The sequence below is a fragment of the Homo sapiens genome, chromosome 2 (genome assembly GCF_000001405.40).
Source record: "Homo sapiens chromosome 2, GRCh38.p14 Primary Assembly".
NCBI classification, from domain to species: domain Eukaryota; kingdom Metazoa; phylum Chordata; class Mammalia; order Primates; family Hominidae; genus Homo; species Homo sapiens.
Genome location: NC_000002.12, coordinates 28,562,952 through 28,590,212, shown reverse-complemented (window position 1 = coordinate 28,590,212; position 27,261 = coordinate 28,562,952). Strand labels below are relative to the sequence as shown.

Here is a 27,261-nt window from a genome sequence, read left to right as displayed (position 1 = left end):
TTTGGGGCAGTTAACCCTGGAGTATAAAATGGGGTGGGTGGGCAGGCAGAGCTGGGGTGAGGGTGAGGGCCTAGGATGAAATGAGCCAAGAAGCCCAGTGCAGCCGGAGCCTGGAAGGACGTGCTTTCCACTCTACCTGGTTCGGACATGTGATATTGATCTTGTTTTCAAACTTATGACGAGTCGTCTTCTGGCCAACAGGCTCCAGCTAAACAAAGAAGCAGGGAGATGGGGAGTGAGGAAGAGGCGGCCAGAATGGAAAGCTCAGGACGCAGGTCAGGGGTGCGGGAGGCAGGGAGGGATGAAGGAGATGGGGTTTGTTTGTCATTGCCGTGCATAGAATCACATGGCCTGCACGATGGGCCTCCGAGGTCCTCCAAAGGCTTTGTGAAGTCTTTTTCTTACCAGAGGGAGGATGCATTTTCCTACCGCAGCCACTTACCATATTGTTCCAGAGAGCACTGGCTGCTCGGGAGTGAGACTTGCTGCTGAAGTGGAAACAGTCAGGAGCGAAGAAAGAGTTGTCAGGCAATCCTTCCTGGTCACCGGGCAGAAAAAGAGAGGCAGTTATAGACACACTGGATCATATAAGTGACACTCAGAAACAGCCACACACTATCTGTGGATTCTATTTTTCTACGATGCTTGCTTTCTTTACCGAGGTCTTTGGCATGTCCACGTTTTCAAAGAACGGCTGCACAACCACAGTAAAATCTTCCCTTGTGTCATATCGCCCACTCTCAATCAGTTGGTGGGTCTTCTCCTGCAGGAGGAAAAGGGGACAGATGTCAGGCAGTCCTCTCTGCATCTGCTCGGTCCTTGATTGATCTCTTTCTCCAACACAGAATTAAACAGAATCTGACTGTTGAGTGAAATCAACCTGGTGCAAAATCTCAACTGAGATTTTACATTTTAGATCATTTACATTTTAGATCAGCCTTTATCTCAACCCCTGGCCCCAAACTCTGCTGCGATTGCATATATTTGAGCTAGTCTGTGAAAAGGGAAAGGTAAGAAAAGTCTATCAGCTTGACCTTTTTTTTTTGGGGGGACAGAGTCTCACTCTGTCACCCAGGCTGGAGTGCAATGGCGCGATCTTGGCTCACTGCAACCTCCGCCTCCCGGGTTCAAGCGATTCCCCTGCCTCAGCCTCTGGAGTAGCTGGGATTACAGGCGCCTGCCACCACGCCTGGCTAATTTTTTGTATTTTTAGCAGAGACGGGGTTTCACTATGTTGGCCAGGCTGGTCTCGAACTCCTGACCTCGTGATCCACCCGCCTCGGCCTCCCAAAGTGCTGGGATTACAGGTGCGAGCCACCGCGCCTGGCCAGCTTGACTTCTTTTAAAGCTATTCTGATTAAAGACGTGAGGGGTGGTTTTTGGTTAAATGACATTTTGAATAATCCTAACAATTTATTTCTGTCCTACATTTGTTCAGAAAAATCAAAGGTGAATCAAAATTTAATGTATATTTATATTGCCTGTGCATGGTGTGTGTGCACTTCTTTGAGGCTCTCAGATCTGTGTAACCCTCACAGCTTTTGCTTGGGGTCACTGCTAGGAAAATCTGTTACCCCAGTTCCGGCTCCCACTCTAGGCTGACTCAGCCATTCCACTGCTCACCAGGGTTTCTGCCACCTCGGGGTACTGGCTGGAGAGGGAAGTCAGGCTTACATACCTGGGAATGTGAATGGGGTCACTTCAGAAGACACCACACACTGTCTTTTCCCAGGGTCAATTCCCAGGCCAGGAATGTCTCATGTCTGACCTCCCAAGCCAGTGGTCAGCCTTGAGTAAGGCATGAGGAAAGGAGAGAAGGTCGTCTCTCAGAAGAGGGGAAGGAAGTGAGGTGCTGTGAACTAGCAGGGTGACTTCCAGCATGCTGCTTCCCTTTTAGTAAATGGAGGATGTTGGCTGAGTCCTGGGCCATCTCTTAAGTCCCTTCCAACGCTACTGGTTACTCGGGGGATAGCCAGATGGGCTCACAGTGGAACCATACACCTTTTGGCAGTGGAAAGAAATAGTGTGTAGAGTCCCTGGCACATGGCAAGTGGTAAGTGAGTGACTGTGGTTATTAATAGAAATGATCATCTCCAGGGAGAGTGAGAGAGCCGTAGCTTCTGTGGGAAGTAGGGCGTGAGATGATTCTGAGACAGGGCATGATGGCCACACACGGCTGACACACGGGCATCTCCAAAACACTAGATCAGGGCCTCAGTGACGACCAGGATCAGCCCTGGGAACATCTGGCCTGTCTGCAGAGGCTGGGAGGGCGATGTTGATCAATCTTTCTCCTGCTTTTCAGCTGCTCAGCATCTGAACCCACTTCCAAGTTTGGAGACCCCACTGCATAGAGAGCAGCCTGCCTCCCACTGTGGAGACTAAAAAAGATGAGAGAACGCCTGCTTTCCTAACCGCTCTTGCAGCCAGGGCGTGGGTATGTGACTGAGGCTTCAGCAATCATTGCCTGTGTCAGGGATGGCAAAACATCCATTCTGCTGAAGGTGGCAGCTGCAACCAGTTCCTAGAAGCAGCAGTGACAGTGGAGTCTGTGATGTCTTCCCTGGACCAGGTCTGTGGCCTGATTTTGATTTTTTTTTTTTTTGAGACAGTCTCACTGTGTCACCCAGGCTGGAGCGCAACGGTGCAATCTCGGCTCACTGCAACCTCCGCCTCCTGGGCTCAAGTGATCCTCCCACCTCAGCCTCCCGAGTAGCTGAGGCTACAGGCATGTGCCACCACGTCCGACTAATTTTGGTATTTTTTGCAGGGTTTCACTATGTTGGCCAGGCTGGTCTTGAACTCCTAAACTCAAGTGATCCTCCCGCCTTGGTCTCCCAAAGTGCTGGGATTATAGGCGTGAGTCACCACGCCCAGCATTGATTTTGATTCTTATGGCTTGGCCCCTAGAAGTCCATGATTCCATGATTCCTGATGGCATAGCTCCGGACCCTAGCTCTCTAGCTCTGTCAGAGATTGTGTAAATATTAAATCTGCTTAAATTAGCCAGAAACTGCATGAACTTTAGTTGCGTGCACCCAGTAACCCCAATTGAAACAGGGTTGCTCTCATGGCCATAACCTCAGCTGCCGCCCCTCTTCTGATGTGGGCCAGGGACTTCCTCCCCAGAGTCACAGGTGCCTGCTCACAGCAGAAGGAAGTGTGGCTTGGCGCGGTGGCTCACACCTGCAATCCCAGCACTTTGGAAGGCTGAGGCGGGTGGATTGCTTGTGTGCAGGAGTCCAAGACCAGCCTGGGCAACATAGTGAAACCCAATCTCTACTAAAAAATACAAAAAGTAGCCGGGTGTGGTGGCACACACCTGTAGTCCCAGCTACTTGGGGGACTGAGGCGGGAGGATCACTTGAGGCTTGGAGGTCAAGGCTGCAGTGAGCCAAGATTGTGCCACTGCACTCCAGCCTGGATGACAAAGTGAGACCCTGTCTCAAATAGATAAATATATAAAAATAAATAAATACATAAAATAAAGGAAGTCCAGCTAGGGAGTCATCCCGAGTGCTAGGTAGTAGTCACAAAGGATAATAAATACAGGTTCATTTCCCTGAGCCCTGACATACCTGGCAGGTCTAGCTGCCCCCAAAATGGGTGGCAGGGAAGTGGTACTGCCCCCAAGGAGTCCAGGGACTCCTGGAAGGATGGATCCACTCTGGTAGCTGTTTGCAGCCTAGTCTAGAAGAAAGGCCTACCACTGTCCTCTTCAAGCTTGTTGGGGAGAAACTTTTTGCTGGGGAGAAACTCGATTGTTAAGGGAGTCAGCTGTTCTGGTCAAAGATGTGGTAGAGAAAGGACTAAAATGAACAACTCACAAGATGGAGATCATCTCCTGACTTTCTTTCTCCTTGTGCTCTCCCAAGATCATCCATTCTATAGGAGCGGAGGGCAGAGGGAATGCACCCTGTGTCACTGAACCCTGGAGAGCCTCAAGGGAGGGAGGACTTTCAGCCTCCGTTTCCCACCCAGGAGCTGGAAGTTCAGAGAAGTTTCATTGCCCATGTGTCTAACATTCCACAACCAGCGAGCAGAGTCGAGGTTTGGGTCTGGATAGATCCACTCTGAAACTTCTTTCCATGATCCATGTTTGCCCATGGACAAGTGGAAACGTTCGTTTCATTTAACGACCAGGAACTGAGATTCAGTGGGTCATGTTCAGGGACTTGGTTCTGTGGTGCAATTCATACAAACCAAGTAGCAGCCCCTGCTGTGTCTCAGGGTGTTTTAAAATCAGCAAACTAGTCAGTGGTCATCCCCCACACAGGGTCAAAATTACCTAAGCACTGACTTGTTCTCTAGACAGAGCAATCGAATCACACAGCAGTTCTGGGAAGTCTTAGAACCCCTTCCCGGCTTACCTGAAACTTCTTGTTGAATTCGATGAGGGTAGCAAGTTCTGTTGAGTTATCATCAAACTTCAGGACACAGGGACACAGAGACCTGTAGACCAAACCAAAGAGAAACCCTCATCCCACCAAGATCACCATCCTGAATAAGTGATGCAGAAACGCTGGCTTGAGACTCAATACATTTCTTTTAACTTGGAGTTCAGAGATCTGTGCTAATGAGGAGCCTGGCTGGCTGACCTGCTGACCATACCAAACGAAGCTAAAGAAGATTTCCAGGCCAGGCGCGGTGGCTCACGCCTGTAATGCCAGCACTTTGGTGGGCCGAGGTGGGTGGATCACTTGAGGTCAGGAGTTCAAGACCAGGCTGGCTGACATAGCGAAACCCCGTCTCTACTAAAAATACAAACTATTAGCTTGGGGTGGTGCTGCATGCCTGTGGTCCCAGCTACTCGGGAGGCTGAGGCATGAGAATCGCTTGAACCCGGGAGGCGGAGGTTGCAGTGAGCCGAGATTGTGCCACTGCACTCCAGCCTGGGCAACAGAGCGAGACTCTGTCTCAAAAGAAAAAAAAAAAAAGAAAAATTCCTAGACCTGGATTTGCTCTTGAAAATGAAATAGACTTCTTCTGATTTCTGTAGGAGTGACTTTTATGGAGACGAGTCACCTTACGGCTGTCTGAGGAAAGTGCTGTGCCGATGAGGCATACTGCAGTGACAACAATAATAATTGCTAAGATACATTGATTTGAGTGTATCTTAGCAATTATTATTGAATAATTAACATTGAACACTGTACCAAGCACTGCAATAAAAACTTTATGGGTATTAACCTGTTTAGTCCTCCCAGCCATTCTAGAAGTGGTATTCTCATTATCCCTGTTTTAGAGATGAGGAAACCCAGGCTCAGGGTGGTTGAGTAACTTTCTCAAGGTTGCATGGGTGCTGAGTGTGGGAGCTAGGACTTGAACTCAAGTCTGCCTGGCTCTGAACCTGAGCTCTTAATCTCTATGTTAAACTGCTTCCATCCAATCTGCAGCTCTGACCCGGCCAGCTATCTGGCACATCTGGGCTTTTGGTCCAGGGGGATGAGGTGATAACAGCAGGGATGGCTCCGTGTAGACTCAGCACTGCAGAGGAAAGCACAGCCACCCGATGAAACAGTGGAGAGGCGGGGAGTGCAGGGCACTGCAGAGGTGGCAGGAGAAGGTGACCTGAGTCTATCCAACCTTGACATTCAGTGACTTGGCCATCTCAGATCTGTGAATGGGCCTGGCAAATGCCTATTTTGAACCTTGAGTTTGAATGGTCTAAAAAACCCTGCCAAGATGGGTAGCAAGAGGCTTTCTGGTAAACTGCTCTGAAATGGAGTGAAGACACCGATCCCCTGTGTGGCCCAGTGACTGGAGAAAGTGTGAGCCAGCGGATGAGTCAGCAGTTGGAAATAGCATGCCTGACACCAGCTGCGTTCATAGGAACATGTCACCCAAGCAACCATCCTGTCTCTGCTCACAGCACCGTGAGGCCTTCTCCAGGGGACCTGTGCGGTTTGGGTCCCCCAGGTGAGGCATGGCATGGATCTGCAGAGGAGCAGGAAAGGTACCCCTTAACTTCCAAGAGCAAGTCTGGCCCTTGTGAATTATTCAGTCATTCAGCAAACAGCAGCTGAGCCCCTACACCATGCTAGCAGTGACTCAGGCTGAGTTCACAGGCTGTGGGGGAGGGAGGCACATGAGTAATTACCATGTGATGTGCTCAGGGCTGGGGTGGGGACCTGTACCGAGTAACAGAGCTGGGGGGCAGGGTAGGGGAGCACAGTCTCAGTGACCTTGGCTAACAGTCCAGAGGAAAACCTGCAGGAAGGAAGGCTGCGGAAAACGTTCATGCTTCACTTAGAGGAACGTCTTATTCCTGACGGTCCTGGAGATGTGTGATACAGGCTGGGTCTCCCTTATCTGAAATGCTTTGAGCCAGAAGCATTTCAGATTTCAGATTTTTTTTTTTTTGGAATATTTGCATTACCCTATGGCTATCGTTTTAAGCCACATCTTTACCACACAGAGAATGAGCAAAAACTAGGTGAGTAATGCACGCAGGTCTTAGCCCCACATGAGCCATTATGGGGAACCTGTTGTTGGAGCATCCGGCCTGCACATGTGCCATTTTGCTACCCTTTGTGGGCATGCTTGAGCCGCAGGATCTGGGCATGCCCAGAAAAGAGAGTGCATCGCAGCTGAAGGAGGCTTTTTGGGGATGCTGAATAAACTGCGTGCTGTGCACCTGTGTTTTCACTACAACCTGTCACATGAAGTCAGGTGTGGAATTTTCCCCTTGTGGTGTCATGTCAGCACTTTAAAAGTTTTGGATTCGGGGCCAGGCATGGTGGCTTCACGCCTGTAATCCCAGCACTTTGGGAGGCCGAGGAGGGTGGATCACCTGAGGTCAGCAGTTCGGGACCAGCTTGGCCAACATGATAAAACTCCGTCTCTACTAAAAATACAAAAATTAGCTGGGCATGGTGGTGTGCCTGTAATCCCAGCTACTAAGGAGGCTGAGGTGGGAGAATTGCTTGAACCTGGGAGGCGGAGACTGCAGTGAGCCAAGATCATGCCACTGCACTCCAGCCTAGGCAACAGAGCGAGACCCTGTCTCAAAAAAAAAAAAAAGTTTTGGATTTTGGAGCATTTCAGATTTCAGATTTTCGGATGAGGGATGCTCAGCCTGTATTAGAAGGGGAAGCCAGCTCTGTCTGGCTCTGGAGGCTGAGGGGTGAAGACGTCCTCTCAGGCACCTTCTCAGGACCAGGGTTCTCTACTCTCTGGGGAGGACTCTGTCCTCTGGACCCTGCTAATTCTGGTTTGACCTCCTTCTCTGGCAGGTGACAGTGGCCCTATATCTGTGAATGCTTTACATGGAACACCCATACCAACCAGAGGCACCCCTGTCCTAGAGATGGGCCTCTAGGAGGGGGCAGATCAGCTCTGGACACACTTGGAAGTAGGTCCCAGCAGTGGCCTGGGCGGTCCCCGGGCCTCAGACACACAGCTTGACTCCATTCCTAGCGTTTTACTCTTCCCTCTGGAGGCCTGGAGGGTGCCTTGTGGCTGCCATGGCAACAGAGGCGGGGTGCAGGGGTAGTTCCCCATGCACACCCTGAGGTGGGCTGAGGCCTACACCAGGGTGGAAAAATCCTAGGATATCCTCCCCTTAGGCTTTTCCAGGTTAGAAGATGGGGTGGTCACAGCCCTTTCACACTTCGGCCCTTGGGTTTTCTAAGGAATTTGCTAAGGGTGCCACTGCCCTTAGCAGTGAGGATTCTTAGTAGAATCGGGGAGAAGTATCTGTCTGACCTGAGGATCATCCTTGGGCAGTAGACTTTTTTCTCCTGGTACAGCTCCCTCAGGTTGACGATCTCAAGCACCGTCACCAGGTTCACAAATGCCCGAGGAACCTGAGAAAAGGCAAACTCAGTCACCAAGAGGATGAGGCTGGGCAGCCTTTCACCTCGGTTTGGGGCCTGCTCCTCCTGCTGAAGTTTCAGATCTAGGGACTTCCATCTGCCCCCATCCACTTCCTCCACCCGTCCCTGCTCCCCCTCTATGCATTTGGGCTGGGATCCACAACAAAGGTGACCTGCCAAGGAGGTCTCAGCAGGATGCCAGAGCTTCCTCTAGGCTAGGTCTGAGGTCTAAGATGCAGGCCTCATGGCCTAGCCTCCGTACCTCAGCATGGAGGATGTCCAGGGCCTTTCCAATGTTGTCTGTGAAGTTCTGGGGAGAATAGTGGACCTGCAGGAAGAGGAAGTGTCCCTTGAACACCATTTGTCACCTAATCTCTCTACAGAACAGGGCTACTTTCTCTCTTGGGTCCCCTTCTTTTTTTTTTTTCTTTTTTTGAGATAGGATCTCACTCTGTCTCCCGGGCTGGAGTGCAGTGGTGTGATCATGGCTCACTGCAACCTTCACCTCCTGGGCTCAAGCAATCCTCCCACCTCAGCCTCCCAAGTAACTGGGACCATGGGTGCGTGCCACCACACCTGGCTAATTTTTGTATTTTTTGGTAGAGATGGGGTTTCCCCATGTTGCCCAGGCTGGTCCTGGGCTCAAGTGATCCATCCACCTCAGCCTCCCAAAGTGCTGGGATTACAGGTATGAGCCACCGCACCTGGCCAGAGTCCCCTTCTTTCTGTATTCAGTCACAGTGGGCAATATTGAAATAGTGTTTGTCTTTGGGGCCCCAGCCTGGACACCAGCCCCATGATCCTCAGGTTTGTCATGGCTGTGGCCCTCAGGGAAATGCCTATGCCTCTTTTTTTAATTTTATTTATTTATTTATTTATTTATTTATTTATTTATTTATTTATTTATTTTTTTGCGTGGAGCTCTGGATCTACTCCATATCCACTAACTGTAGAGCCAAAGCATCACATCTCCAGGCCCCTCTAACATGGGGATGTCCGAGCAGATGACTCTAAGATCTCCTGCAATCTGAGCAGCCTCTGTCCTATGGCCCGATCTCTTTTTCTTGGAGCCTCAGTGTCTGGGGCTACTGAGCACACCCTACATGTATGAAAGCACACCCTACATAAATCAAGGCAATAATGGGAGGGGAAGAGGGGAAGAGCGTCCTGTGAAACACCGGCCACACCAAGCCTAAACACATTTTAACTGTTTCTCCTGATCTCGATATTTGCGGTTTTAAAGCTTTCTCAGCAGTGGAACTCTTTCTCTGATTGAAATCTAACCAAAAGCCCTGCTGTATGGAACATATGAAAGCTGTGTCACTTAACATGAGCAGGGGAGGGGCCCAGGGTCCCACCTCCCCACGGGCTACCAGCAGCCCCAAGGCTCCCCTCTGGGCCCTTCAGATCACAGCTTGAAAACTCCTGACTCCTGGTGACTTTGATGCCAAGAAAGTGGGTTGTGAGGGGCCTGGGGGCTGGGGCATCCCTCCAGGTAGGTGCTCACAGGCCAGAGCAAGGCCACTACTTCCTAAACCTCACTCTGCTGGTCCCCTTTCTGTCTGACAAACCTCCTCATCTTCAAGCCTGAGCTGGAAAGTCTCCTGCTCTGTGTAAATCTCTCCAACAACCCCCTTTCCCACACACCAGGGTCCCACAGCAACTTTGCTTTTTTTTTTTTTGAGATGGAGTCTCGCTTTGTCACCCAGGCTGGAGTGCAGTGGCATGATCTCAGCTCACTGCAACCTCTGCCACCTGGGTTCAAGCGATTCTTCCGCCTCAGCCTCCCAAGTAGCTGGGACTACAAGCACTTGCCATCACAACCAGCTAATTTTTGTATTTTTGTAGAGACAGGGTTTCACCATGTTGGCCAGGCTGATCTTGAACTCCTGACCTCAGGTAATCTGCCTGCCTCGGCCTCCCGAAGTGCTGGGATTACAGGTGTGAGCCACCACACCCAGCCAACTTTGCTTTTAGACCTCTCTTCTGTGTGTATCCCTACAACAACATCCTGATGTCTGCTTTGTGCTGTGATGAACTGCCTGTCTCTCTCTCCGCTGGCAGTGCAAGTTCCTGAGGACAGGGCCTGTGTTTCCTTCACCACTGCCTTGCTCCTAGTACATTCCTGGCATAGGCGTGGGTGGGAGACTAGTGGGTATGCCCTGTCAGGCTTCTATCAGCTCAGAGACTGAGGTTCCAGGAGGACACGCAGCATCCATGGAGCAGCAGCCTTGATCTTGGGTTTCCCACCAGCCCAGAATGACTTGGCTCTGAAGCTTGCCCAAATGCCTGCAGGAAATCGACCTTCCCATACAAGTGACAGCACAAAGGTGGAAAGGGCAAGGCTGCTGGAGACTGGGGAAGGGAGCTAACCTGTGACTCTCTGTGAACATGGGAAAGATTTTTCTAGTCATTGGGTGTTATCTTGCTTTCTAGAATGATATGATCAAGCTCCCTTGATAGGAAACTTAATCAGGATCAATCTTATAACTAATCCTGCTTGCCCAGCTGAATGGTTCCCTGGAGGTGAATGCCTTCTCAGTCTCAGGGTTCATCCCAGGCTGGATCCAAGACAAACCATGAGCCTGAGTCCCAACTTAGCTGTACTCCTCCCGGGCAGAGCAAGTGACCGGGCTGTGAAAATCCTTCTCTGGGGGTGAGTCTTGAGTAAAGTGCCTGGAGACCTACCAGATCATTGCAGAAATCACAGAGGTCATTGCCGCCTATAAACAGGGTTATTATCTTCCAGTCTTCCTGAAAGTGTATCCTCTGAAATGAATAGAAACACAGAAGTAAGCACCTTGTCCCAGAGTCAAGTCAAGGAAAACACAAAATGCTTGCAAACTAGAAAAGATGGGTCCTCACACACCAGAGTGTCTCATGGACTTCTGAATTTTCTGTTCCTTGCTTTTAGGGTCCTGAGATCATAGGTGCTAAATGGTTCATTTATTTTAGGTGGAATCACTGAACTTGCATGTGGCTCTGTCCACACACAAAAGCACACACGTCAGTTTCCACGTGTCCTGGTGGGAGTGGATACAGATGCCCTCTGAGCTCTGTTCCTCCATCTCCAGCATAGCAAGGAAGTGGGGAAGGGATAAGGAAGCTGGTTTTGGCCATGGGAAAGGAATGTTTGTTCCAGAATCTTCTAGAAATCCTGAATTCTAATTGTGCCTTAAGGGAGAAAGACCATCTTTCATTAAGAGGGAGCTCTCCAAATTTGGAATACTCACACTGGTGACTAGTTCTGCCCATGAACTAGTCAAGCCAGAGAGGCTGAGTAGGGTAAGGTGGCAGCTCTAAGCACAAGCTCTGAAAAGATTTTGCCACCTCTGGGATCTGTCTCCTCCAAAGAGGACCTGGAAAAGCATATGAAGTCACAGGGCTGTGTGGAGAGGGTGCAGCCATACACATTCCATAAACTATGGCCCCAGGGCAGCCACGGCCCTGCAAGCCTCTTATATTGCCCCAGGCCTACATAGCTTTGCTTCCCTGATCTACACTTCCAAAAGAGCGTGGAAGGAGGAAGGTGAGAACAAGATCCAGGAAAGTTTGACATTAAGGGTAGAAATACCCTGAGAACCTCCCAATAATAGACTTTGATGTACATTAAATTATATATAACATAACTCATCCTAATCTTCCTTTTTATTTTACCCACCTAGAAACCCCTGCAAAAAGCCTCTGAATTGAGACCGTGCTTTCATTTGAGGGAGAGCTGCATATTCATCTTTCAGAACCCGGCTCAAACATCTCCTCTACTTTTATTTTTTGGTACTGCTCCTTGCAGACCAGGGCTCTCCCGTAGGCCATGTGCCCAGAATAACAGCCAAAATCTCCTTTTCAAGCCTTCCCTGACTGTCCTAAGCAGAGGCGCCGGTCCCTTCTGCACCCCACCGTGTCTTATACAGAGCCCTTTCGGTGGAGCACGTGGCAACTGTTTTATAATTTGATTCTTCACATTGGTCTCCGCTTCCAAGCTCCTTGAGGACAGGACTGTGTTGTATTCTTTTGTGCATCTGCAGCCCCAGCCTGATGCCTGACTCACAGTAGATGTTTAATTTCAACAGCCAACTGACTGAACAAATAGGAATCCCCTTTCCAGAGAAGCAGTGTTTTAGGCTTCAGATGTGTCTGCTAGAAACCCAAGCCGGGCTCCCAACCATCCCTCAATCCACAGCTGATCTTCTCTGTGTCCAGGGATTTTTCCTGCCTACTTCCCATCCCAGGGACCCACCGTGTCATTCTTCATCAGGTCCACCAGCCTCCTGGCCTGGACAGGTAGATCCCTGTGGAAACATACCAGAGGAAGTGCTGTGAGGAGTGGGGACTGGCAGGGGCCCTTAGCAGAGAGAACAGCAATCAAATGTATGGTGGAGGAAGGCCCAGGGTGGGCCTCCTGCAGGAAAATGGACTGAAGGCCGTGTCGCAGAGCTTCTTCCCCATTCAGGCTCCACTGCGGGGGTGTGGGGTGGTGACTGTGCTTGGGAAGGCCAGAGCACTGCACGTAGGAGGGGGTGATTCTCAGTGTGACTATTTTCCTTTTTGTTTCCCCTGAGATGGAGTCTTTCTCTGTCACCCAGGCTGAAGTGCAGCGGCACGATCTCAGCTTACTGCAACCCTGCCTCCTGGGTTCAAGCAATTCTCCTGATTCAGCCTCCCAAGTAGCTGAGATTATAGCTGTGTGTCACCACACCCAGTTAATTTTTGTATTTTTAGTAGAGATGGGGTTTCACCATGTTGGCCAGGCTGGTCTCAAACTCCTGACCTCACGATCCATCTGCCTCGGCCTCCCAAAATGCTGGGATTACAGGCGTGAGCCACCGCGCCCGGCCGGTGTGACTATTTTCTGATTGGCATATTTGATGGTGTACTTTTCTTTTCCTTCCAAGCCAGGCTTGTTCAGGGCAAACAGAAGTTTTGCCTGTAAGTATTTCACATCATGCACATGTCATGGCACCACCCATTTTGGCAGGTGCCATGGCCTAAGCCCTCCTACCCTTAAGATGATGTAGTCTAGTAAAATGCACCTGGGTTGGACACTTAGGTGCCTTTTGCTAACAGTGTGAAAGTGACTTAAATTCTCAGTTCAAAAAGACTACAAAATGGAGACAAGATCACTGATCTTGGAGGGTCACTGGGACCAGTAGATGGGAACCACTGCTGGTGCCAGACAGCCAGGGTTTGAATCCTGGTTCCACAAATGACCAGCTCTGAGACCTTGGCCGACTACTTGATCCTGCAAATCCTCAGTTTTTCCCTTTGGGAAATGAGCATGGTAACATACCTTCTTCACAGAGTTGTTGGGGAAATTAAATGAGGTGCCATATAAAGAACTTACAACAGTGCTTGGCACGTAGTATGCAACCACTGAATTATTTCTGCCATCATTACCACCATCATCATTGACAAAGTCCCTGGCACAGGGCTTAGCAGGAAACATTAGTGGTCATCCTCTTCCCCTCTTATCTATTAGCCCTACTGGCCTGATGTGAGTCATAGTACACTAGGTATTCGATTACCTGGATGGGAACTTCGGGTAAGTCACTTAACCTTTTTGAGGCTTGATTTCCTCATCTGTAAATCTGAAGTTATCAGAGCAGCTGCTCTGTCGATGGAACAGAGTTTGAGGATGATTACTCAACTACTCTGAAACTCTTTTTTTTGAGACTGAGTCTCGTGCTATCGCCCAGGTTGTAGTGCAATGGCGTGATCTCAGTTCACTGCAACCTCCACCTCCCAGGTTCAAGCAATTCTCGTGCCTCAGCCTCCCAAATAACTGGAATTACAGGCACCCGCCACCACACCCGGCTAATTGTTGTATTTTTAGTAGAGACGGGATTTCACCATGTTGGCCAGACTGATCTCGAACTCCTGACCTCAAGTAATCCACCCACCTCGGCCTCCCAAAGTGCTGGGATTACAGACGTGAGCCACTGTGCCTGGCTGAAGCTCAGTTTTATCATTGGTAAAACATGGGAGTCTGACGTTTTGCTCTGTTCATCTCATGGTTATTGTGCAGACTACAGGGATGATAAACGTGAGGGTGCCTTGTAAATGGTGCACTGCTGTATCTGCATGACAGCTATTGTCAGACCTGGAATAAAGCCTGCAGGGCACAAGGCTGGACTATGTGGTCAAGTCGATGCATTTGTTCAGGCCATGTGGCCTCTTTGTGCTATAGTTTCTTCGATTGTAATACGGGAATAATAACCCCCAACTTTTCCCTGCCACCCAGGATGTGCTTGGATTGCTTGCATGAAAGAGCCCCAAGGCCTCTGGAAATGCAAGGATAGAAACCCAGGGCCATATGAATCACACTCATTTTGGTTACTTTTACACTCTTGACTCTAAGGTTTCATTCTTGGATGCCTCCCTGACCTAATCATGCTTACAACTGTCTTTCCTCTTATACTACCAGCCCACATATGCTTGGAAAAAGCAAGATTATGGTACTATTAAAGCAGTAAACCTGCAGCCTTTTAATCCTATCCCCATCAAAAGGAAAAGAAAGCCTCAGAATTCATCATAAAACATATTGGGCCTGCTGGGCACAGTGGCTCACACCTGTAATCCCAGCACTTTGGGAGGCCGAGGTGGGCAGATCATGAGGTCAGGAGATCGAGACCAACCTGGCTAACACGGTGAAACGCTGTCTCTACTAAAAATACAGAAAATGCACTCATAGTCCCAGCTACTCAGGAGGGTGAGGCAGGAGAATCGCTTGAACCTGGGAGGCGGAGGTTGCAGGGAGTGGAGATCGCGCCACTGCACTCCAGCCTGGGCAACAGAGTGAGACTCTGTCTCAAACAAACAAACAAAGTCTATTGGGGTCTGTGTTAGCCATTACTTTGGATACTCTTTCACCTTTCCCACTGGCAATGAATAAGAAAGCTACTTAGGTGGCTCATGGTCTCAGGATGGTGCTGAGAGCTGGAAGGATGTCAGGAAATCTAGGAACCAAACCACATGAGTCCTAGGAACCACATGGTAGTGTGATGTTTGTGATTAAAAATAGGATCTAAAAAATCCAAATAATCCCATCAAAAAGTGGGCAAAAGACATGAATGGTCAATTCTAAAAAGAAGATATACAACCAGCCAACAAACATTAAAAAATGCTCAACATAAACAAAAGTGTCAGGGAAATGCAAATTAAAACAATGAGATATCACTTTACTCCTGCAAGAACAGCCATAATTAAAAAGTCAAAAAAATAATAGGTGTTGGCCTGGATATGGTGAAAGGGAACACTTTTACACTGCTGGTGGGAATGTAAACTAGTACAACCGCCATGGAAAACAGTGTGGAGATTCCTTAAAGACTGAAAGTAGAACCACCATTCGATCCAGCCATCCCACTTCTGGGTATCTACTCAAAGGAAAATAAGTCATTACATGAAAAAGACACATGCACATGCATGTTTACTGCAGCACAATTTGCAATTGCAAAGATATGGAACCAACCTAAGTGCTCATCAACCAACAAGCGGATAAAAAAATGTGGTATATATACACCATGGAATACTACTCAGCCATAAAAAGGAATGAAATAATGTCATTTGCAGCAACTTGGATGGAGCTGGAAGCCATTATTCTAAGTGAAGTAACTCAGGAATGGAAAATCACATATTGTATGTTCTCACTTATAAGTGGGAGAGCAAAGCTATGAGGACGCAAAGGCATAAGAATGATATAATGGGCCAGGCATGGTGGCTCATGCCTGTAATCCCAGCACTTTGGGAGGCCCAGGCAGGCAGATTACTTGAGGTCAGGAGTTCAAGACCAGCCTGGCCAACATGGTGAAACCCTGTCTCTACCAAAAAAAAAAAAAAAAAAAAAAAAAAATTAGCCGGGAATGGTGATGTGTGCCTGTGATCCCAGCTACTTGGGAGGCTGAGATGGGAGAATCCCTTGAACCTGGGAGGTGGAGGTTGCAGTGAGCTGAGATCACACTACTGTACTCCAGCCTGGGCAACAGAGCAAGACCCTGTCTCAAAAAAAAAAAAAAAAGAATGATATAATGGACTTTGGGGACTCAGAGAGGAAGGGTGGGGGGGGTGAGGGATTAAAGATTACATATTGAGTACAGTGTACACTGCTCAGGTGACAGGTACACCAAAATCTCAGAAATCACCACTAAACAACTTACTCATGTAACCAAAAACTACCTGTACCCCAAAAAGTGTTGAAATAAAAATTAAAAATAAATACAAATAGTATAAGAAAGAAAGGATCATCCAGTTTTATTTTTCCTTGATTAGGTATGGCATTCACTTGCTCTCTGCCCAGGCAGCAAACCTCAAGCAGCACTCAAGGCCCTGGAATCTTGGAATGCAGTGAAGGGATGGGACCTAGGAAAGCTGACCTGCCCACTCTTGGGGACCGGCCTGGCCGTGCCCAGGGACCATGACAGTGATGGCCGTGCTCACTGATGTTTCCCCCGAGGTGGGCCTGCCACCTTGCTGCATTACTGCCAGGACCACCATTTTGACCAACGTGTGTCACGTGTACACTATTTACAGCTCACCAGAACTTTCGTATCCAATATGGCATTTGAGCTTCATGACTGCCCTGTGGGAGAGGTTCCTAACCAGCCCCACCTCGTAGAGTCTGAGGCTTAGAGAGGCCAGGGAGGAAACCGGGCTCGTACTCAGGGCCTCCCCTCCCAGGGCTGGTACTCTTCCCAGGACACTGGAAGGATGCAGAGTTTAAAGCCCAAAAGGCACAGCTGAGGAAGGGAGGGAGAGCAGGACTCTGAAACAGCAGTGACATAGCAGTGACAACTGGGACGCAGAGTGAGCCTGCTTATAACCTATGTCTTAAGTGAGATTTACAGACAGGCAAAGTAATCTGCTCAGAGCATATGCCTGGCATCAGAGTCCATTGTGACTAGTTTCTGGGGGTGGGTGTTAGGGTAGGCTCACAGATTTCTGTGACACCTCCAAGAGAGCTCTGTCCAGGCTTTGGCCCCGAAACCCTTTCCTCTGACAAAGCCCTTCAACCTTCAGCCATAAACCCAGTTTAGGCCAAGCCCACCCCTGGTCCTCAGAGGACCTGTGCTGTTCACCGCCCCGGTCACCCCTGCTTACTCAGCTCGGCCTCCTGCCACAGCCTGGTTTAAGAAGGCATTAGGACTGGTTTCTTTCCCAGTGCCAACAGAGAAGCCCTTCAGGGAAGGGTTGAATTCCCGGAGGATGTCTGCAAATACAAGGAAAAGACACGCTTAGTGACTACTGCAAAGCAATCTTCAAATTCCTTTGATAAGCACCAGTGGGTGTTAGGGAACAGAGTCCCCACTCCGCAGCCCCTACTCTTACCCCAACCTTCACTCAGCATGGGAAGAAAATGTTCAGCAGGATGGCGCTTAACGACAGGGCAGCACACGACAGATGTTTCAATTATTGTTGAAGAAATGTGAGTCTGGGTTACAGGCTTTTTTCATGTATTTTTCTTTTTTTCTAACTATATACTAGCTTTACTGAGATATAATTCACTTACCATAAAATTTACCAATTGAAAGTATACAGTTCAATAACTTCTAGCACATTCACACAGTTGTACAATCATCACCACGTAATCAACTTTAGAATATTTTCATCACCCCAGAAAGAAACCTAGTACCCACTAGCAGTCACTCCCCATTCCCTGCAACCTTGTGGCAATCGTGGATCTACTCTGTCTCTGTAGTCTTGCTTATTCAGGCCATTTCATATGAATGAAATCACATACCCCAACATACCTTTTGTGACTGGCCTCTTTCCCTTAGCGTACGGTTTTCAACATTCACCCATGTTGTAGCATGCAACTGTACTGCATTCGTTTTTATTGCTGAATGATATTCCACTGGATGGATATACCACATTTTATTTATCCATTCTTCAGTTGATGGGGCTTTGGAGTTACTTCCACATTTTGGGTATTATGAAAAATGCTGCTATGAACATTTGTGTACAAGTTTTTGTGTGGATTTCCCTTGGATATGTATCTAAGAGTGGAAAAGGTTAAACTCTGTTTAACTCTAACCCTCACCCTGTTTAACCTTTTGAGGAACTGCCAGGACTTTTCCCAAAGCAGGTGCACCATTTTTACATTCCCACCAGCAGTTTACAAGGGCTTCAATTCTTCCACATCCTTGTCAACACTTATTATGTCTTCCTATTATAACCATGCTAGTGGATGTGACTTGGTATCTCATGGTGGTTTTGATTTCCACTGATGGCTACTGATGTTGAGCATATTTTCAAGTGCTTACTAGTCATTTGCATATCTTCTGTGGAAAAATGTCTATTCAGATCCTTTGCCCGATTTTAACTGGGTTATCTTTTTGAGTTCTAAGAGTTCTTTATAATTTCTAGACGTAAGTTTCTTATTAGATATAGGATTGGCAAGTGTTTTCTTCCACTCTTTGGGCTGTCTTTACTTTCTTTGATATATGATATGACATCCTTTGAAGCGCAAAATATCGATTTTTTTTTCTTTTGTCACTTGTCTTAGTGGCATATCTAAGAAGACTTTGTTTAGCTCAAGATCATAAAGATTTGCTCCTGTATTTTCTTCCTAGAGTTAGTTTTAGCTCTTACATTTAGGTCTATGATTCATTTTGAGTGAATTTTTGTATAAAGTGTGAGGTAGGAGTTCAACCTCATTTTTCTGTGTGTAACTATCTAGTTGTCTCAGCACAGTTTATTGAAAAGACGATTCTTTCCCCCATTGGTTTTGGCATCCTTGCTGAAAATGAGTTAACCATGAATATGAGAGTTTAATTTCTGACTCTCAATCTTAGTCCACTGTTCGATATGTCTATCCTCATGCTAGTACCACGTCTTGATTACTATAGCTTTATAGTAACTTTTGAAATTGGTAAGTATGAATCCTCTGAATTTGTTCTTTTCTAGATTTCTTGGGATATTCTGGGTCCCTTGAATTTCCACATGAATTTTAGGGTCAGCTTGCAAATTTCTGCAAAGGAGCTAGCTGGAATTTTGATAGGGATCACATTGAATCCGTAGATTGATGTGGGGAGTATTATGAAGAATATTAAATCTTCTAATCCATGAGTGTCAGATGTTTTTCTACTTATTTAGGTCTTTAATTTCTTACAGCAATGTTTTGTGATCTTAAAAGCGATGCCCTTTTTTGGTTAAATTTGGTTAAATTTATTCATTATTTTTGATGCTATTGTAAATGGAATTAATTTCATTTTCATATTAATTGCTAGTATAAAGAATTATAATTGATTTTTGTATATTGATTTGTACCTTGCAATCACTGAACTCATTAGCTCTAATAATTTTTAGTGGATTTCTTGGGATTGTCTCTATATAATATCATCTCATCTTTAAATAGAAGTGGTTTTATTTCTTTATTTCCAATCTTGGTACTTGTTCTTTCATTTTCTTGCCTAACTGCCATGGGCAGTGTGATGTTGAATAAAAGTGGCAAGAGCATGCATCCTTGTCTTACTCCTGATATCAGAGAGAGGGGGCAGCATTCCATCTGTCACCATTGCCTATGGTGTCAGCTGTGGGCTCTTAAAAGATACCCTTTATCAGAATGAGGAATTTTCCTTCTATCCCTAATTTGTTCAGTATTTTTTTACTTTATTTATTTAGAGACAGTCTTACTCTGTCACTCAGGCTGGAGTGAAGTGGCGCAATATCAGCTCACTGCAACCTCTGCCTCCCAGGCTCAAGCTATTCTTATGCCTCAGCCTCCCATGCAGCTGGGATTACAGGCACCCGCCACCACACCCAACTAATTTTTGTGTTTTTAGTGGAGACAGGGTTTCACAATGTTGGCCAGGCTAGTCTCTAACTCCTGACTTCAAGCGATCCACCTACCTAGGCCTCCCAAAGTGCTGGTAGTACAGGCGTGAGCCACTGCGCCCGGCCTTTGTTGAGTGTTTCTATCATTAAGTGGTGTTACATTTTTGTTAAATGCTTTTTCTGATCCATTGAGATGATCATGATGTGTGGTTTTGGTCTTTTATCCTATTGACATAGAATATTACATTAATTGATTTTGAGGTTGAAAACTAACCTTGTATTCCTGGGCTAATTCCACTTAGTCATGAGGTATACTTTTTTTTTCATATTGCTGGATTTTGTTTGCTAGTATTTTGTGTAGGATTTCTGGGTCTACATTCATAATACTTACTGGTCATACTTTTCTTCCCTTGTGATGTCTTTGTCTTATTTTGCTATCAGGGTAAAACTCATAGAATGAGTTGTGAAGCATTCCTTCCTCTTCTGTTTTTGGGAGGAATTTGTGAAGAACTAGTAATTGATACTAATGTTTGATAGAATTCACCAGCGAAGTCAGAGACAGTCTGGGCTTTTTTTGGTGGGAAGTTTTAAAATTATTAATTCAATCTCTTTGCTTGTTATAAATCTATTCAGATTTTCTTTTTTCTTTCTTTTTTTTTTTTTTGAGATGGAGTCTCGCTCTGTTGCCCAGGCTGGAGTGCAATGGCGTGATCTCGGCTCACTGCAAGCTCTGCCTCCAGGGTTCATGCCATTCTCCTGCCTCAGCCTCCCAAGTAGCTGGGACTACAGGCGCCCACCACCACACCTAGCTATTTTTTTATATTTTTAGTAGAGACGGGGTTTCACCGTGTTAGCTAGGATGGTCTCGATCTCCTGGACCTCGTGATCCGCCTGCCTCGGCCTCCCAAAGTGCTGGGATTACAGGCGTGAGCCACCACGCCTGGCCTCAGATTTTCTACTTTTTATGGATTCAATTTCAGTAGTTTGTGCCTTTCTAGGAATTTGTCCATTTCATCCAAGTTATCTGATTTATTGGCATACAATTTGTTCATGGTATTCTCTAATAATCCTTTTTATTTCTGTAAGGTTGGTAGTATCTCCTCTTTCATTCTTGATTTTCATTTCCCCTCCCTTTTGTCAGTCTAAAGTTTTGTCAGTTTTGTTGAACTTTGCAATCTCATGCATTCTAATTGCCTTTACTAATATGGATCCACACTTTTCACTTTTTCATCTTTCCAACTTGGCTGAGCCATCCTGAGAGCAGGGTCTATATATACCCCAGGGCCTCATATAATGCTCAATACATGATTATGGACTGAATTAGAAATAAAACAAAGTTCAGACAAGCTTGGAGATTTGTTCAAAGACATGTAGGTGCTGAGAATGGCTAGTATCTCAGCTCCAACACAAGGACACTTGCCCCCGCTGTCTCACAATCTGCTAGGATGTGAGAAAGAAACTGGCCGGGTAGCAGCCAGGACTTTAGGGCCCCATTCAGCAGAGTGCCTGCTAGAACCCAGCACTGCTGCAGGTTTACTCAGCACAGATGGACTGGACTCATTCCTTGAGGTTTGGGGATATTACACTAATAAATGGAAATTGCTCCGATTTCTATTCAAGAGAAAAAAGGACTGTGAAATCACCTGAGCGATTTGAAAGTGGAATGGTTTGTCCTAGGAGGTGGCAGCTTCCCTAGGAGGTAGAAGGAACTCAGCACAGTCTACCCAGCTACTTAGCAAGAATATCATAGGGAGGAACCACACATTGGATAGGGCAACGACTTGCTGGTGCAGGCAGTTCTCTCTGCCAGGAACATTCTCTCCCCTTTCCTTACCTGACGAATTCTAATTCTTGACGCTCCTTTTCAGAAGACAGGGTTAACAGCCTCTATGTTTATTTTCCCCTAAGCTTTGTACACATCTATAAATATTAGTCATGTGTCTGTCTTTAGGAAGACATGCTGCCAAAGACACTTTGGTGATGTCATCGGAGCACTGTTCTCCTATTTTCCAAGCACTCAGCACTGGAATATTTGCTGGATTAAATTGAACAGGGGGTTGAACGGGGATTCTGTTCTGCCCTTACATTCTTATGAGTTTTCTAACACGTTTCCATATAGTTACTTCCCCCTGGATTATCTAGCCCCTATAATCAAATAGTCTTCACATCTCTAGCAAGAAGAGTCTAAATAGCGGATAATCCATTTCTGGGCTAAGTGTGTCAGGGGAGTCATCCACCTGTGGGGTAACATTGTCTCAATCCTTTGTAAATTACTTTGGTGAAAGAGGTGAAGCCAAATATTATCCAATTATCTTGTCCATAATACGAGCATGGGAAGTAAAGAGCCCAGAAAGCTATTGCATACATTGGGCCATCCCACAGCCAAGTTCATCACACTCACAAAAGCACCCTGAACCATCTCCTAGCAATAGAGGAACTGATTTATAGCTCATGTGTGTAGACCTAGATATAAAGAAGGCAGGGAGTGCTTGTGGCACAGAACCCTGTCTACCTAAATTCGACAGGATTTACAAATAACCAAAACAGATAAAGTGAAGTCTGCTCAGCTCTGCTCTGCCTATGTGGAGATTAAGCTATGATGTCCCCCTCATCCAAATCTTGGTGGCTTCAAGTTGTTAGCTTCTAAATATATATTACAAAGGGCTATGTACCAGGAAAGTAAATGAAAATGGGACCAGTTAAATTCCTCCCAGGCAAAATTATCAGCCAGAAGATTCCAGGGGAAGAATTCAATTTAAATATGTATCGCTTGCATACTTTAAGAACAAGCAGGGAGATGTGTACGCACTGGCGAGAATTTTAAAAAGATAAGATCAGACCCTTCAAGGAATATAATCAGACTTTAAAAAATCATTCCGCCTGTAATCCCAGCACTTTGGGAGGCCAAGGCGGGCAGATCACGAAGTCAGGAAATCGAGACCATCCTGGCCAACATGGTGAAACCCTGTCTCTATTAAAAATACAAAAATTAGCTGGGTGTGGTGGCGGGGGCCTGTAGTCCCAGCTACTCGGGAGGCTGAGGCAGGAGAATCGCTTGAACCAGGGAGGCGGAGGTTGCAATGAGCTGAGATGGCGCCACTCTGCACTCCAGCCTGGCAACAGAGTGAGACTCCATCTCAAAAAAAAAAAAAAAAAAAAAGAGAAAGAAATCATTCCGAGCAGGTTGATGGAAAGTAAATTAAGGAAAGTGCTGAGTCCCAAAATGGCTGTGTCTGCACAGCCTGCACAAGATAACTTCATCTCCTCCTGCGGCAATAGCAGCGGTTCCTACAGCAACCCCGCAATTCAATATCTGTGCGCAGCTGTGCCTGCGCCCCAGGTGCCTGGATCGATGCCTCTCGCGGGGGTGATCTGCTGGGAAAGGCAGGCGCCGCACAACCGGGTTTCTTTTTCTTTTTTCTTGAATCACTTTTCTTTATTCTCTCTAATCTCATGCCAGATTATTGAATCACTTTTTAATGACTTGCCCTAAGAGGTGATCTTTTTCCCCGCTTTACTTTCTTCCTCCTTTGGTCAAACACAATTTCTTTTTGACACCTCCCCGCCCCCGGCCCCCAAGCCCCGAACCTCGTTCCACCCCCAACTCTAAGGCTTTCGTCACTGTCGGAAGCGGAGCTGGGCGGCAGTCTCGGGAGGCAGCGCCCCCTGGTGAATTTAGCGGGCTCCTGCAGCCGGGGCTCCTCCCGAGGCCCGCGCCACCTGCAGGGGGAGCGGGAAGCGTGCAGGGGCCGCCCCAAACCAAACATCCCGGCCGCCGCCGCGTACTCACTCGCCAGGGTGGTAACGGTGCCGATGTTCTCATCTCCGCCGACGCTGTAACGTGGGTCCAAGAAAGAAAATGAAGGGTTAAAATCCCAGCCACGCCGAGACCCTTCAGACACTAGCCAGAAACGCCCGTCTCCCGAGAAACAGCCCGGGGGCCTGGAGCTTGCACTTTCCCCATCACTTCAGTAGAAAAACGGAAAAAGCAAACCAGAATACGACTCCCCTCCCCATAGGCCAGCACATCCAAACAAAACGCCAGCTTTAAACCAGCGGCTGATTTTCGCTGATGTTGGGGAAGGGGAGGTAGGTTGGTTCCTTGCACCCCTGCTTTCAAAGGGGAAGTAGTCCCTCGTCTGCCAGCCCCTTTCCAACTAGCCACTGCAGCGTGCATTAATATTATTGGCCCTATTTTTTTCTCTCTTCTCTTCCTGCTTGGCTTGGAAAAGCCGTTTTTAAAAGGTGTCTTCTAGAGAGTCAGCCATCTTCCAAGCCAATAATAAAATTCCAAGGTGATCAAAGTTAGAAGGGTTTCTAGGCATGCAAATATGCAGCATTCCAGAGTGGATTGGATTCCCTGCTTTTCCACACCCCCCCACCCCATTCTGTGCCAAGGGTGTCTAGGAGCATCTAAAAGGTTCCCCAAATGTTTGGGTTTAACTGTGTTGCAACGTGAGGAAGGATGCCAGAGACTCGGCACTCAGGTTAAAGCAGGTGTCAGATAGAGATGCCAGATTCCAGGTGAGGAAACACCAAACCTGCCCGGGCTTGCAGCAGAGGTTTGATCACATACAGAGCAGAAATAAGCCTGCCCAAAGTGATACAGGATAAGGGAATGCACTGGTGGGGGCCAGGAAGCATCTGCTCTGCTTCCTGATCTTTTATCTTCTGGCTCTGTGATCTTGGTCAGGTTACTTGCCCTCTCTGAGCCTTGTTTCCTCATCTGCAAAATAAAGGCCCTATAATAACAATGCCAACTACCAGATACTTAGTGTCAAGCACTGTGCTGGACACCTAAATTCTTTCTAGCCCTCAGACAGTGCTCAGGTAGTAGCATTATTTCTGCATCAGAGATGAGGAGAGAAGCTCAGAGAGGTTAGGGAACTTGCCCAAGGTTACATCCAACTGGGCAGCTAGGGCTCAGCTACAACTCTGGTTCCAAAGGCAATGATCTGTGCATCACTCAGGCCACTGCCTCCTTCTGAGATTATATCACAGAGGGAGAAATGGAAGCCAGAGAAGCATTTCCAGCCCAAACATTTATGTAGTTTCTCTCCTGGATTCCTGGCTCAAGGCTCAGCTACTGTTTTGGGCAATGTAGTGGTTTGAGGAGGCTGGTGAATACCTTTTTCAAATTAAACCTAGAAGTTGGTCATAGAAAAGAACAAAATGGCCCACCCTTCTGCTTAAGGCGTTGTTTTCTAGAACACTCAGGGGGCTTCCCTTGCTCTGCAATGAAGGGGCCTTTGGGGCCTTGCCACACCCTCACTCACCTCCAGGACAGGCCTCGGTACTGAGTCAAGACGTCCAAGACGTTCCCAGGTGTGGACCCGGCCCCATTGCCTGCCTGAGAGGGAACAATGAGGGGGTGAGTTTCTCTGCTTTCCCCAGTGGCCCACCTCTGCCTACCTGCCAAAAGGTCTATGTTCTTATGCTGGCCAGGACCACCTGGGCACTCTCTGGGATCTAGGGTCTAGATGGCACCATGTCTCCATATGTATCCTGCCTTTTCAGAGATGAGTGAGAGTGCCCACTGGGAATGCCTGGTGCTACTCCCAGCTCTGCTTCATTCTAAGAAACCCTGCCTAGGCCAAGACCAAGTAAAACTCGTCCAGCAAAAGTGCTCTTGAAATTAGACTGTACCTTTTCAAAAGGATACATTTCAGGGTCCTGTTTTTCTCATTTTTTTAAAGTTGTGAAGTATATCATAAAAGGAAATACATCATTATCCTTTTATACCAATATATCTCACCTATGCAGTTTAAAATGTAGTAATAAAATGAAATCCCACGTAGCCGTCATCAGCTGAAGAAAGCACAATGTGGACACTCTCCAGGTGCGTGTCCCTTGCCTAAAGCACTTTGCTTCTGAGCATTTTGAAGGGCATGCTGAGACTGGCCTCCCAGGCAGTTGGGGGTGAAGGCTGGCCTCCATGAGAGGCCCCCCAGGTGTGATCCCTGCTCTCTGGTGCCCAGTTCCTTTGCTACCTGCCAGGCAGGTTCACACCCAAAGTGCTGCCTCCCTAGGAACCCCTGAGCAGCTGTGCCGAGATGTGATGACCCCTTGTCCTGAGAGTATCTTCAAGGAGACCAGGGAATTGGGAGCAGGTGATGTCAGGCCCCGCCGGGCAGGAAGAGGTTGGGATAAGCAGTGTATGAAGCTGCTAAGGCCCAGCCTGCCAGTCCTTCCTGGGAGGTTATGAGCAGTCAGGTCTTTGGGGTAAAGAGTGGCTGAGGGGCCACGGAGGAGGCTGCCACAGCATAGGGATAGGGCCCTGGACTTAGGGTCAGGATCCCTGATTTGTGATCCTGGCTCGAGCACTTACAAGCTGTGTGACCTTAGGCACTTCACCTTGCCCAGCTTCATTCACCTTCTTATTGATTTAGAGACAGGGCCTTGCTCTGTTGTCCAGCCTGGAGTGCAGTTGCACCATTGTGGCTCATTGCAGCCTCGAAATCCTGAGCTCAAGTGATCTTCCAGCCCCAGCCTTTCAAGTAGCTGGGACTATAGGCATGTGTCACCATGCTTAATTTTTTTTCTTTTCTTTTTTGTAGAGATTGGGTCTTGCTACATTGCCCAGGCTCACCTTGACCCCCTGGCCTCAAGTGATCCTCCCACCCTGGCCTTCTAAAGTGCTGAGATTATAGATGTGAGCCACTGGGCCCAGCCTTTATTGGTTGAATCTAAAGAAAGTCATGCCTCACAGGATTTTGTCATGAAGATACATCCCACTGAGTGGATGATATCATTGTGATAGACCATAGACATGAGAGGTGTCTGCTTGTTCTTGGGGAGGATTCAGCTGGAGACCCTGTATTCTACTGGCCCAGAGAATAGCAGCTGGACTCTGATGAGAGGCTGTTGAATGGAAGCTGTGTCTAGGAACCTCTGGGACTCCCAGCCCCCAGGCTCTCAAGGGCCTGATTCTGCTTTTCATGGATAGTGCTTTGCAGGGTCTGGGATGTCACCCGGGGGCAGATGCAGAAGTGGGTTTGGAACATCTCTGGCCTATCTGCCTCTTCCACAGACTCCCGTCTTCCCACCCTCCCCCACCTCCCTGCCCCCATTAGCACTTGCCCTGTCTCATCATCTCTTCACCTCTCTTCCTGGTACCTTCCCTTAGCTTTTCTACATGGACAAAACAAAGCACTGGATCCTTGGAGGAGTTCTACACCATGGTCTGGAGATCTTGTCCAATCCTGCCCCACCGCTGACCAGCTGTGTGACTTGGGGTGGGTCACTCCTGTCACCCACACTCCCTCTGGGGTCCCTCCACTTCCTGCTCTCTCCTTCATCTCAGCATTGGGGGAGGAAGATGAGACCAGAATGGAGGTGGGAAACCATGATGGGAAGGGAATGCTGTTGAATGCCAGGGTGGGTCGGACAATGGAGAGATGGAGATCAGGACCCGAGATGGTAGCATCTAAGAGCCAGGCGTGAGACCTTCTCTCTCCATTTTCCTCTCCAGGTTCTCATATTAGTCAAAATCTTTTCCCCTCCTGCCCCTTCTGCATCAGGGTCACTTACCGTGAGAGAGTCACCCAGGGCTCCAATTACGTTGATGTCAGCCGGCTTCAGCCTATGAACTAAGAATATAAGCAGGAGTGAGTGGAAAATGGGGCTTCCAGGAAAGCACTGGACCCATCTACTCTGAAACAAAGGAACAACTTCCAGG

The 27,261-nt window shown here is 47.7% G+C and overlaps 1 protein-coding gene across 3 annotated transcripts in view, besides 3 other annotated features; it reads right to left on the bottom strand.

Moving 5' to 3' along the window:
* PLB1 (phospholipase B1) overlaps positions 1-27,261 on the bottom strand; it is a 148,083-nt gene that overhangs the window by 53,930 nt on the left and 66,892 nt on the right. Inside the window, exons 18-29 of one of the 3 annotated variants that reach the window (NM_153021.5) lie at positions 27,114-27,172; positions 24,860-24,933; positions 23,374-23,417; positions 16,908-17,016; positions 12,055-12,106; positions 10,506-10,586; positions 8,080-8,145; positions 7,708-7,808; positions 4,371-4,452; positions 659-763; positions 443-538; positions 137-208 (exon numbers count right to left, since the gene is read on the bottom strand). In NM_153021.5, the coding sequence (NP_694566.4) occupies positions 137-208; positions 443-538; positions 659-763; positions 4,371-4,452; positions 7,708-7,808; positions 8,080-8,145; positions 10,506-10,586; positions 12,055-12,106; positions 16,908-17,016; positions 23,374-23,417; positions 24,860-24,933; positions 27,114-27,172 (941 nt within the window). Of the gene's footprint in view, positions 1-136; positions 209-442; positions 539-658; positions 764-4,370; positions 4,453-7,707; positions 7,809-8,079; positions 8,146-10,505; positions 10,587-12,054; positions 12,107-16,907; positions 17,017-23,373; positions 23,857-24,859; positions 24,934-27,113; positions 27,173-27,261 lie in introns of those variants that run through there. The other 2 variants (NM_001170585.2, NR_138141.2) reach the window with 2 other exon arrangements.
* Positions 5,689-5,748: an enhancer, noted in NCBI's record as "active region_15517". NCBI's record gives its function as "activates an Ori minimal core promoter by ATAC-STARR-seq in GM12878 lymphoblastoid cells {active_cell/tissue: GM12878}" and the evidence as "EXISTENCE:reporter gene assay evidence [ECO:0000049][PMID:35858748]".
* Positions 23,238-23,297: a silencer, noted in NCBI's record as "silent region_11310". NCBI's record gives its function as "represses an Ori minimal core promoter by ATAC-STARR-seq in GM12878 lymphoblastoid cells {active_cell/tissue: GM12878}" and the evidence as "EXISTENCE:reporter gene assay evidence [ECO:0000049][PMID:35858748]".
* Positions 23,338-23,397: a silencer, noted in NCBI's record as "silent region_11309". NCBI's record gives its function as "represses an Ori minimal core promoter by ATAC-STARR-seq in GM12878 lymphoblastoid cells {active_cell/tissue: GM12878}" and the evidence as "EXISTENCE:reporter gene assay evidence [ECO:0000049][PMID:35858748]".